The 12,981-nt window shown below is 38.9% G+C and overlaps 2 annotated features.

Annotated features, from left to right (window-relative positions):
• Positions 7,508 to 8,322: an enhancer, noted in NCBI's record as "OCT4-NANOG-H3K27ac hESC enhancer chr9:66823139-66823953 (GRCh37/hg19 assembly coordinates)". NCBI's record gives its function as "activates a minimal SCP1, AML or CMV promoter by ChIP-STARR-seq in primed H9 embryonic stem cells {active_cell/tissue: H9 hESC(primed)}" and the evidence as "EXISTENCE:reporter gene assay evidence [ECO:0000049][PMID:30033119]".
• Positions 11,977 to 12,561: an enhancer, noted in NCBI's record as "OCT4-NANOG hESC enhancer chr9:66818900-66819484 (GRCh37/hg19 assembly coordinates)". NCBI's record gives its function as "activates a minimal SCP1, AML or CMV promoter by ChIP-STARR-seq in primed H9 embryonic stem cells {active_cell/tissue: H9 hESC(primed)}" and the evidence as "EXISTENCE:reporter gene assay evidence [ECO:0000049][PMID:30033119]".

Below are 12,981 nucleotides of genomic sequence, written 5' to 3'. Positions count from 1 at the left end.
TATGAACTTTAAAGTAGATTTTTCCAATTGTGTGAAGAAAGGCATTCGTATCTTGATGGGGATGGCATTGAATCTGTAAATTACCTTGGGCAGTATGGCCATTTTCACGATATTAATTCTTCCTACCCATGAGCATGGAATGTTCTTCCATTTGCTTGTATCCTCTTTTATTTCGTTGAGCAGCGGTTTGTAGTTCTCCTTGAAGAGGTCTTTAACGTCCCTTGTAAGTTGGATTCCTAGGTCTTTTATTCTCTTTGAAGCAATTGTGAATGGGAGTTCACTCATGATTTGGCTCTCTGTTTGTCTGTTGTTGGTGTATAAGAATGCTTGTGATTTTTGCTCATTGATTTTGTATCCTGAGACTTTGCTGAATTTGCTTATCAGCTTAAGGAGATTTTTGGCTGAGATGATGGGGTTTTCTAAATATACAATCATGTCATCTGCAAACAGGGACAATTTGACTTCCTCTATTCCTAATTGAATACCCTTTATTTCTTTCTCCTGCCTTATTGCCCTGGCCAGAACTTCCAACACTATGTTGAATAGGAGCGGTGAGAGAGGGCATCCCTGTCTTGTGCCAGTTTTCAAAGGGAATGCTTCCAGTTTTTGCCCATTCAGTATGATATTGGCTGTGGGTTTGTCATAGATAGCTCTTATTATTTTGAAATACGTCCCATCAATACCTAATTTATTGAGAGTTTTTAGCATGACGGGTTGTTGAATTTTGTCAAAGGCCTTTTCTGCATCTATTGAGATAATCATACGGTTTTTGTTGATGGTTCTGTTTATATGCTGGATTACGTTTATTGATTTGCATATGTTGAACCAGCCTTGCATCCCAGCGATGAAGCCCACTTGATCATGGTGGATAAGCTCTTTGATGTGCTGCTGGATTCAGTTTGCCTATATTTTATTGAGGATTTTTGCATCAATGTTCATCAAGGATATTGGTCTAAAATTCTCTTTTTTGGTTGTGTCTCTGCCCGGCTTTGGTATCAGAATGATGCTGGCCTCATAAAATGAGTTAGGGAGGATTCCCTCTTTTTCTATTGATTGGAATAGTTTCAGAAGGAATGGTACCAGTTCCTCCTTGTACCTCTTGTAGAATTCGGCTGTGAATCCATCTGGTCCTGAACTCTTTTTGGTTGGTAAGCTATTGATTATTGCCACAATTTCAGCTCCTGTTATTGGTCTATTCAGAGATTGAACTTCTTCCTGGTTTAGTCTTGGGAGAGTGTATGTGTCCAGGAATTTATCCATTTCTTCTAGATTTTCTAGTTTATTTTCGTAGAGGTGTTTGTAGTATTCTCTGATGGTAGTTTGTATTTCTGTGGGATTGGTGGTGATATCCCCTTTATTATTTTTTATTGTGTCTATTTGATTCTTCTCTCTTTTTTTCTTTATTAGTCTTGCTAGCGGTCTATCAATTTTGTTAATCCTTTCAAAAAACCAGCTCCTGGATTCATTAATTTTTTGAAGCGTTTTTTGTGTCTCTATTTCCTTCAGTTCTGCTCTGATTTTAGTTATTTCTTTCCTTCTGCTAGCTTTTGAATGTGTTTGCTCTTGCTTTTCTAGTTCTTTTAATTGTGATGTCAGGGTGTCAATTTTGGATCTTTCCTGCTTTCTCTTGTGGGCATTTAGTGCTATAAATTTCCCTCTACACACTGCTTTGAATGCGTCCCAGAGATTCTGGTATGTTGTGTCTTTGTTCTCGTTGGTTTCTAAGAACATCTTTATTTCTGCCTTCATTTCGTTATGTACCCAGTAGTCATTCAGGAGCAGGTTGTTCAGTTTCCATGATGTTGAGCGGTTTTGAGTGAGATTCTTAATCCTGAGTTCTAGTTTGATTGCACTGTGGTCTGAGACATAGTTTGTTATAATTTCTGTTCTTTTACGTTTGCTGAGGAGAGCTTTACTTCCCACTATGCGGTCAATTTTGGAATAGGTGTGGTGTGGTGCTGAAAAAAATGTATATTCTGTTGATTTGGGGTGGAGAGTTCTATAGATGTCTATTAGGTCCGTTTGGTGCATAGCTGAGTTCAATTCCTGGGTATCCTTGTTGACTTTCTGTCTCGTTGATCTGTCTAATGTTGACAGTGGGGTGTTAAAGTCTCCAATTATTAATGTGTGGGAGTCTAAGTCTCTTTGTAGGTCACTCAGGACTTGCTTTATGAATCTGGGTGCTCCTGTATTGGGTGCATATATATTTAGGATAGTTAGCTCTTCTTGTTGAATTGATCCCTTTACCATTATGTAATGGTCTTCTTTGTCTCTTTTGATCTTTGTTGGTTTAAAGTCTGTTTTATCAGAGACTAGGATTGCAACCCCTGCCTTTTTTTGTTTTCCATTGGCTTGGTAGATCTTCCTCCATCCTTTCATTTTAAGCCTATGTGTGTCTCTGCATGTGAGTTGGGTTTCCTGAATACAGTACACTGATGGGTCTTGACTCTTTATCCAATTTGCCAGTCTGTGTCTTTTTTTTTTTTTTTTTTTTTTTGAGACGGAGTCTCGCTCTGTCGCCCAGGCTGGAGTGCAGTGGCGGGATCTCGGCTCACTGCAAGCTCCGCCTCCCAGGTTCACGCCATTCTCCTGCCTCAGCCTCCCAAGTAGCTGGGACTACAGGCGCCCGCCACTACGCCCGGCTAATTTTTTGTATTTTTAGTAGAGACGGGGTTTCACTGTTTTAGCCGGGATGGTCTCGATCTCCTGACCTCGTGATCCGCCCGCCTCAGCCTCCCAAAGTGCTGGGATTACAGGCATGAGCCACCGCGCCCGGCCCAGTCTGTGTCTTTTAATTGGAGCATTTAGTCCATTTACATTTAATGTTAATATTGTTATGTGTGAATTTGATCCTGTCATTATGATGTTAGCTGGTGATTTTGCTCGTTACTTGATGCAGTTTCTTCCTAGTCTCGATGGTCTTTACATTTTGGCATGATCTTGCAGCGGCTGGTACTGGTTGTTCCTTTCCATGTTTAGTGCTTCCTTCAGGAGCTCTTGTAAGGCAGGCCTGGTGGTGACAAAATCTCTCAGCATTTGGTTGTCTGTAAAGTATTTTATTTCTCCTTCACTTATGAAGCTTAGTTTGACTGGATATGAAATTCTGGGTTGAAAATTCTTTTCTTTAAGAATGTTGAATATTGGCCCCCACTCTCTTCTGGCTTGTAGGGTTTCTGTCGAAAGATCCGCTGTTAGTCTGATGGGCTTCCCTTTGAGGGTAACCCGAACTTTCTCTCTGGCTGCCCTTAACATTTTTTCTTTCGTTTCAGCTTTGGTGAATCTGACAATTATGTGTCTTGGAGTTGCTCTTCTGGAGGAGTATCTTTGTGGCGTTCCCTGTATTTCCTGAATCTGAATGTTGGCCTGCCTTGCTAGATTGGGGAAGTTCTCCTGGATAATATCCTGCAGAGTGTTTTCCAACTTGGTTCCATTCTTCCCATCACTTTCAGGTACACCAATCAGACGTAGATTTGGTCTTTTCACATAGTCCCATATTTCTTGGAGGCTTTGCTCATTTCTTTTTATTCTTTTTTCTCTAAACTTCCCTCCTTGCTTCATTTCATTCATTTCATCTTCCATCGCTGATACCCTTTCTTCCAGTTGATCGCATTGGCTCCTGAGGCTTCTTCATTCTTCACGTAGTTCTCGAGCCTTGGTTTTCAGCTCCATCAGCTCCTTTAAGCACTTCTCTGTATTGGTTATTCTAGTTATACATTCGTCTAAATTTTTTTCAAAGTTTTCAACTCTTTGCCTTTGGTTTGAATGTCCTCCCATAGCTCAGAGTAATTTGATCTTCTGAAGCCTTCTTCTCTCAGCTCATCAAAGTCATTCTCCATCCAGCTTTGTTCCGTTGCTGGTGAGGAACTGTGTTCCTTTGGAGGAGGAGAGGCGCTCTGCTTTTTAGAGTTTCCAGTTTTTCTGTTCTGTTTTTTCCCCATCTTTGTGGTTTTATCTACTTTTGGTCTTTGATGATGGTGATGTACAGACGGGTTTTTCGTGTGGATTTCCTTTCTGATTGTTAGTTTTCCTTCTAACAGAGAGAACCCTCAGCTACAGGTCTGTTGGAGTACCCTGCCGTGTGAGGTGTCAGTGTGCCCCTGCTGGGGGGTGCCTCCCAGTTAGGATGCTTGGGGGTCAGGGGTCAGGGACCCACTTGAGGAGGCAGTCAGCCCATTCTCAGGTCTCCAGCTTCATGCTGGGAGAACCACTGCTCTCCTCAAAGCTGTCAGACAGGGACATTTAAGTCTGCAGAGGTTACTGCTGTCTTTTTGTTTGTCTGTGCCCTGCCCCCAGAGGTGGAGACTACAGAGTCACGCAGGCCTCCTTGAGCTGTGGTGGGCTCCACCCAGTTCGAGCTTCCTGGCTGCTTTGTTTACCTAAGCAAGCCTGGACAATGGCGGGTGCCCCTCCCCCAGCCTCACTGCCGCCTTGCAGTTTGATCTCAGACTGCTGTGCTAGCAATCAGCGAGACACCGTGGGCTTAGGACCCTCTGAGACAGGTGCGGGATATAATCTCGTGGTGAGCCGTTTTTTAAGCCCGTAAGAAAAGCACAGTATTCAGGTGGGAGTGACCCGATTTTCTAGGTACCATCCTTCACCCCTTTCTTTGACTCGGAGAGGGAACTCCCTGACTCCTTGAGCTTCCCAAGTGAGGCAATGCCTTGCCCTGCTTCGGCTCACGCATGGTGCATGCACCCACTGACCTGCGCCCACTGTCTGGCACTCCCTAGTGAGATGAACCCGGTACCTCAGATGGAAATGCAGAAATCATCCATCTTCTGCGTCGCTCATGCTGGGAGCTGTAGACCAGAGCTCTTCCTATTCGGCCATCTACACACACATCACAAAGAAGTTTCTGAGAATGCTTCTGTCTAGTTTCTATGTGAGGATATTTCCTTTTTCACCATAGGCCTCCAAGTGCTGCAAGTGTCCACTACCAGATACAACAAAAAGAGTGTTTCAAAGCTTCTCTATGAAAAGGAATGTTCAACTCTGTGAGTTGAATGCAAACATCACAAAATAGTTTCTGAGAATGCTTCTGTCTGGTTTTTATGTGAAGATAATCCAGTTTCCAATGAAATCCTCAAAGCTATCCAAATATCCACTTCCAGATTCTACGAAAAGAGTGTTTCAAAACTGCTCTATCAATAGAAGAGTACAACTCTGTGAGTTGAGTACACACATCCCAAGGAAGTTTCTGAGAATTCTTCTGTCTAGTTTTTATGCGAAGATATTTCCTTTTACACCATAGGCCTCTAAGCGCTCCAAATGTTCACTTACAGATTCTACAAAAAGAGTGTTTCAAAACTGCTCTATGAAACGGAATGTTCAACTCTGTGATTTGAATGCAAACATCACAAAGAAGTTTCTGGGACTGCTTCTGTCTAGTTTTTAAGTGAAGGTATTCTCGTTTCCAACGAAATCCTCATAGCATTCTAAATATCCACTTGCAGATTCTACAAAAAGGGTGTTTCAAAACAGCTCTATCAAAAGAAAAGTTCAACTCTGAGAGTTGAGTACACATATCACAAAGAAGTTTCTGAGAATTCTTCTGTCTAGTTTTTATGGGAAGATATTTCCTTTTTCACCATAGGCCTCAAAGGGCTCCAAGTTTCCACTTACAGATTCTACAAAAAGAGTGTTTCAAAACTGCTCTAGGAAAACGAATGTTCAACTCTGTGAGTTGAATGCAAGCATCACAAAGTAGTTTCTGACAATGCTTCTGTCTAGTTTTTATGTGAAGAGATACCTGTTTCCAACGAAGGCCTCAAAGCTGTCCAAATATCCACTTGCAAATACTACAACAAAAGTGTTTCCAATCTGCTCTATCAAAAGAAAGATTCAACTCTGTGAGTTGAATGCACACATCACAAAGAATTTTCTGAGAATGCTTCTGTATAGTTTTTAATTGAAGATATTCCTGTTTCCAGTGAAATCCTCAAAGCTATCCAAATATCCACTTTCAGATTCTACAAAAAGAGTGTTTCAAAACTCCTGTCTCAAAAGAAATGTTCAACTCTGTGAGTTGAGTGCACACATCACAAAGAAGTTTCTGGGAATGCTTCTGTCTAATTTTTATATGAAGATGTTTCCTTTTTCACCATAAGGCACAAATCGCTCCAATTGTCCACTTCCAGATACGACAAAAAGAGTGTTTCAAAACTGCTCCATGAAAAGGAATGTTCATCTCTGTGAGTTGAATGCAAACATCACAAAGAAGTTTCTGAGAATGCTTCTCTCTAGTTTTTATGTGAAGATATTCCCGCTTCCAATGAAATACCCAAAGCTATCCAATTATCCATTTTGAGTTTCTCCAAAAAGAGTGTTTCAAAACTGCTGTATTAAGGAAAGGTTCAACTCTCTTTGTTGAGTACACACATCATAAAGAAATTTCTGAGAATGCTTCTGTCTAGTTTTTATGTGAAGATATTTCCTTTTTCACCATAGACCTCAAAGCGCTCAAAATGTACACTTCCAGATACTACAAAAAGAGTGTTTCAAAACTGTTCTATGAAAAGGAATGTTCAACACTGTGAGTTGATTGCGAGCGTCACAAAGAAGTTTCTGACAATGCTTCTGTCTAGTTTTTCTGTGAAGATATTCCCGTTGCCAACAAAAGCCTCATAGCTATCCGAATATCCACTTGCAGATTCTACAAAAAGAGTGTTTCAAAACTGCTGTATCAAAAAAAATGTTCAACTATGTAAGTTGAGTACACACATCACGAAGCAGTTTCTGAGAATACTTCTGTCTAGTTTTCTGTGAAGATATTTCCTTTTTAACCAAAGGCCTCAAAGCGCTGCAAATCTCTACTTTCAGATACTACAAAAAGAGTGTTTCAAAACTGCTCTATGAAAGGGAATGTTCATCTCTGTGAGTTGAATGCAAATATCACAAATTAGTTTCTTAGAATGTTTCTGTCTCGTTTTTATGTGAAGATATTCCCACTTCCAAGGAAATACTCAAAGCGATCCATATACCCACTTGCAAACCCTACAAAAAGAGTGTTTCAAAACTGCTCTTTCAAAAGAAAAGTTCAACCCTATAAAGTTGAGTACACACATCACAAAGAAGTTTCTGAGAATTCTTCTGTCTAGTTTTTATGGTAAGATATTTTCAACATAGCCCTCAAAGCGCTCCAAGTTTCCACTGACAGGTTCTTCAAAAAGAGTGTTTCAAAACTGCTCTATGAAAAGGAACGTTAAACTCTGTGAGCTGAATGCAAGCATCACAAAGAAGTTTCTGAGAATGCTTCTGATTAGTTTTTATGAGAAGATATTCCCGTTTCCAACGAAACCCTTAAAGCTATCCAAATATCTACTTGCAGATCCTACAGAAAGAGTTTTTCAAAACTGCTGTATGAAAAGAAAGGTTCAACTCTGTGAGTTGAGTACACACATGACCAAGAAGTTTCTGAGAATGCTTCTGTCTCCTTTTTATGTGAAGATAATTCCTTTTTCACTGTAGGACCCAAAGCGCTCCAAATGTCCACTTGCAGATACTACGAAAAGAGTGTTTCAAAAATGCTCTATGAAAGGGAATGTTCAACTCTGTGAGATGAATGCAAACATCACAAAGACATTTCTGAGAACGCTTCTCTCTAGTTTTTATGTGAAGATATTCACTTTATCAACGAAATCCTCAAAGCTATCCAAATATCCACTTGCAGATGCTACAAAAAGAGTGTTTCAAATCTGCTCTATCAAAAGAAAAGTTGAACTCTGTGAGTTGAGGACTCACATGACAAAGAATTTTCTGAGAATGCTTCTGTCTAGTTTTTATATGAAGATATTTCCGTTTCCAACGAAAGCCTCAAAGCTGTCCAAATATCCACTTGCAGATTCTACAAAAAGAGTGTTTCAAAACAGCTCCATTAAAAGAAATGTTCAAATCTGTGAGTTGAGTACACACATCACAAGGAAGTTTCTGAGAATTCTTCTGTCTAGTTGTTATGGGAAGATATTTCCTTTTTCACCATAGGCCTCAAAGTGCTCCAAGTTTCCACTTACAGATTCTACAAAAAGAGTGTTTCAAAACCGCTCTATGAAAAGGAATGATCAATTCTGCGAGTTGAATGCATGCATCAAAAAGTAGTTTCTGAAAATGCTTCTGTCTAGTTTTTATGTGAAGATATACCCAATTCCAGCAAAGGCCCCAAAGCTGTCCAAATATCCACTTGCAAATTCTACAAAAAGAGTGTTTCCAACCTGCTCTACCAAAGGAAAATTTCATCTGTGTGAGTTGAATGCACACATCACAAAGAAGTTTCTGAGAATTCTTCTCTCTAGTTTTATGTGCAGATATCCCCGTTTCCAACGAAATCCTTTATGCTGTCCTTATATGCACTTGTAAATTCCACAAGAAGAGTGTTTCAAAACTGCTGTATCAAAGGAAAGGTTTAACTCTGTGAGTTGAGTACGCACATCACAAAATAGTTTCTGAGAATACTTCTGTCTACTTTTTATGTGAAGATACTTCCTTTTTCACCATAGGTCTCAAATCGCTCCAAATGTCCACTTGTAGATTCCATAAAAAGAGTGTTTCAAAACTGCTCTATGAATAGGAATTTTGAACTCTGTGAGATGAATGCAAGCATCACAAATAAGTTTCTGAGAATGCTTCTCTCTGGTTTTTATGTGAAGATATTCCCTTTTCCAACGAAATCCTCAAAGCTATCCAAATATCCACTTGCACACCCTACAAAAAGAGTGTTTCAAAACTGCTCTATCAAAAGAAAAGTTCAAATCTGTGAGTTGAGTACACTCATCACAAAGAAGTTTCTGAGAATTCTTCTGTCTAGTTTTTATTAGAAGATATTTCCTTTTTCAGCATATGCCTCAAAGAACTCCATGTTTCCACTTACAGATTCTTCAAAAAGAGTGTTTCAAAACTGCTCTATGAAAAGGAATGTTCAACTCTGTGAGTTGAATACAAGCATCAAAAAAAGTTTCTGAGAATGCTTCTGTCTGGTTTTTATGTGAAGACATTCCCGTTTCCAACGAAAGCCTCAAAGCTATCCAAATATCCACTTGCAGATTCTACAAAAAGAGTGCTTCAAAACTGCTCTATCAAAAGAAAGGTTCAACTCTGTGAGTTGAGTACACACATCACAAGGAAGTTTCTGAGAATTCTTCTGTCTAATTTTTATTGGAAGATATTTCCTTTTTCAGCATATGCCTCAAAGAGCTCCAATTTTCCACTTACAGATGCTTCAAAAAGAGTGTTTCAAATCTGCTCTATGAAAAGGAATGTTCAACTCTGTGAGTTGAATAAAAGAATCACAAAAAAGTTTCTGAGAATGCTTCTGTCTAGTTTTTATGTGAAGACATTCCCGTTTCCAACGAAAGCCTCAAAGCTACCCAAATATCCACTTTCAGATTCTACAAATAGACTGTTTCCAAACTGCTGTATCAAAAGAAAGGTTCAACTCCATGATTTGAGTACACACATCACAAAGAAGTTTCTGAGAATGCTTCTGTGTAGTTTTTATATGAAGATATTTCCTTTTTCAGCATAGGCCTCAAAGCGCTCCAAATGTCCGTTTCCAGGTACTACAAAAAGAGTGTTTCAAAACTGCTCTATGAAGGGGAAAGTTTAACTCTGTGAGTTGAATGCAAACATCACAAAGAAGTTTCTGAGAATGGTTCTGTCGAGTTTTTGTGTGAAGATATTTCCGTTTCCAACAAAAGCCACAAAGCGCGTCAAATGTGCACTTGCAGATTCCACAAAAAGAGTGTTTCAAAACTTCTCTAAGAAAAGAAAGGTTCAAATATGTGAGTTGAGTGCAGACTTCACAAATAAGTTTCTGAGAATGCTTCTGTCCTAGTTTTTATATTATTTCCTGTTTCACAATAGGCCACAAAGCACACCAAATGTCCACTTGCACATTCTACAGAGTGTTTCAAAACTGCTGTATCAAAAGAAAGGTTCAACTCTGTGAGTTGAATGCACACATCACAAAGATGTTTCTGATAATGATTCTGTCTAGTTTTTATGTGGAGATATTCCCGTTTCGAACGAAGGCCTCAAAGTGCTACAAATGACAACTTGCAGATTCTGCGAAAAGAGTGCTTCAAAACTGCTCTATGAAAAGAAATGTTCAACTCTGTGAGTTGAATGCAAACCTCACAAAGAAGTTTCTGAGAATGCTTCTGTCTGGTTTTTATGTGAAGATATTACCATTTCCAACGAAAGCCTCAAAGCTGTCCTAATATCCACCTGTGAATTCTACAAGAAGAGTGTTTCAAAAGTGCTCTATCAAAGGAAAGGTTTAACACTGTGAGTTGAGTACACACATCACAAAGCAGTTTCTTAGAATGCTTCTGTCTAGTTTTTATATGAAGATATTTCCTTTTTCACCATAGGCCTCAAAGCACTCCGAATGTCCACTTCCAGATACTGCAAAAAGAGTGTTACAAAACTGCTCTATGAAAGAGAATATTCAACTCTGTGAGTTGAATGCAAACATCACAAAGAAGTTTCTGTGAACGCTTCTGTCTAGTTTTTATGTGAAGATATTCCCGTTTCGAACGAAGACGACAAAGCACTCCAAATGTCCACCTGCAGATTCCAGAAAAAGAGTGTTTCAAATCTCCTCTATCAAAAAAATGCTTAAACTCTGTCAGTTGAGTACACACATCACAAAGAAGTTTCTGTGAATTCTTCTGTGTAATTTTTATGGGAAGATATTTCCTTTTTCACGATAGGCCTCAAAGAGCTCCAAAAGTCCACTTGCAGATACTACAAAAAGTGTGTTTCAAAACTGCCCTATGAAAAGGAATATTCAACTCCGCGAGTTGAATGCTAACATCAAAAACAACTTTCTGAGTATGCTTCTGTCTAGTTTCTATGTGAAGATATTCCCGTTTCCAGCGATGGTCTCAAAGCTGTGCAATATCCACTTGCAAATTCTACAAGAAGAGTTTTTCAAATCTGCTGCATCAAAACAAAGGTTCAACTCCGTGAGTTGAATGCACACATCACAAAGAATTTTCTTAGAATGCTTTTGTTTAGTTATTATGAGAAGATATTCCCGTTTCCAACGAAAGACTCAAAGTTGTCCAAATATGCACTTGTAAATGTTTCAAAAAGAGTGATTCAAAACTGCGCTATCAAAAGAAAGAATCATCTCTGTGAGTTGAGTACACACATCACAAGGAAGTTTCTGAGAATGCTTCTGTCTAGTTTTTATGGGAAGATATTTCCTTTTTCACCATAGGCCTCAAAGCACACAAAATGTCCACTTGCTGATCCTACAAAAAGAGTGTTTCAAAAATGCTCTATCAAAAGAAAGGTTAAACTCTGTTAGTTGAGTACACACATCACAAACAAGTTTCTGAGAATGCTTCTGTCTAGTTTTAATGTGAAGATATTCTCGTTTCCAACGAAAGCCTCAAAGCTATCCAAATATCCACTTGCAGACACTACAAAAAGATTGTTTCAAAACTTCTCTATCAAAAGAAAGGTTAAACTCAGTGAGTTGAGTACACACATCACAAAGAAGTTTCTGAGAATGCTTCCGTCTAGTTTTTATGTGAAGATATTCCCGTTTCCAATGAAGGCCACAAAGCGCTCTAAATGTGCACTTGCAGATTACACAAAAAAAGTGTTTCAAATCTGCTCTATCAAAAGACAGGTCCAAATACGTGAGTTGAGTGCTCACATCACAAATAAGATTCTGACAATGCTTCTGTCTAGTTTTTATGTTAAGATACTTCATTTTTCACCATAGGCCTCAAAACACACCAAAATGTCCACTTGCAGATCCTACAAAGAGAGTGTTTCATAACTGCTCTATAAAAAGACGGATTCAACTCTGTGAGTTCAATGCACATATTGCAAAGATATTTCTGATAATGATTCTGTCTAGTTTTTATGTGAAGGTATTCCCTTTTCGAACGAAGGCCTCAAAGTGCTCCAAATGACCACTTGCAGATTCTACAAAAAGAGTGTTTAAAAACTACTCTGTGAAAAGGAATGCTCAAATCTGTGTGTTGAATGCAAACATCACAAAGAAGTTTCTGAGAATGCTTCTGTCTAGTTATTATGTGAAGATATTCCCGTTTCCAACGAAAGCCTAAATCCTATCCAAATATCCACTTGCAGATTCTACAAAAAGAGTGTTTCAAAACTGCTCTATCAAAAGAAAATTCAACACTGTGATTTAAGTACACACATCACAAAGAAGTTTCTGAGAATACTTCTGTCTAGTTTTTATGTGAATATATTTCCTTTTTCACCATGGTCCTGAAAGCGCTCCAAATGTCCAATTCCAGATACTACAAAAAGAGTGTTTCAAAACTGCTCTATGAAAGGGAATTTCCAACTCTGTGAGGTGAATGCAAACTTCACTAAGATGTTTCTGAGAATGCTTCTGTCTCGTTTTTATATGAAGATATACCCGTTTCCAACGAAGGCCACAAAGCACTCCAAATGTCCACTTGCAGATTCCACAAGAAGAGTGTTTCAAATCTCCTCTATCAAAAGAAAGGTACAACACTGTGAGTTGAGTACACACATCACCAAGAAGTTTCTGAGAGTTCTTCTGTCTAGTTTTTATGTGAAGATATTTCCTTTTTCACTATAGGCCTCAAAGCGTACCAAAAGTCCACTTGCAGATACTACAAAAAGTGTGTTTCAAAACTACCCTATGAAAAGGAATGTTCAACTCCATGAATTGAATGCAAACATCACAAGGATGTTTCTGAGTATGCTTCTGTCTAGTTTTTATGTGAAGATATTCCCGTTTCCAGCGAAGGTCTCAAAGCTGTCCAAATATCCACTTGCAAATTCTACAAAAAGAGTGTTTCAAATCGGCTCTATCAAAAGAAAGTTTCAACACTGTGAGTTGAATGCACACATCACAAAGGAGTTTCTGAGAATGCTTCTGCCTAGTTTTTATGTTAAGATGTTTCCTTTTACACCATGGGCCTCAAAGCACACAAAATGTCCACTTGCAGATCCTATAAAAAGAGTGTTTCA

The sequence above is a fragment of the Homo sapiens genome, chromosome 9 (genome assembly GCF_000001405.40).
Source record: "Homo sapiens chromosome 9, GRCh38.p14 Primary Assembly".
NCBI classification, from domain to species: domain Eukaryota; kingdom Metazoa; phylum Chordata; class Mammalia; order Primates; family Hominidae; genus Homo; species Homo sapiens.
This window is presented reverse-complemented; position numbering and strand designations above follow the sequence as displayed.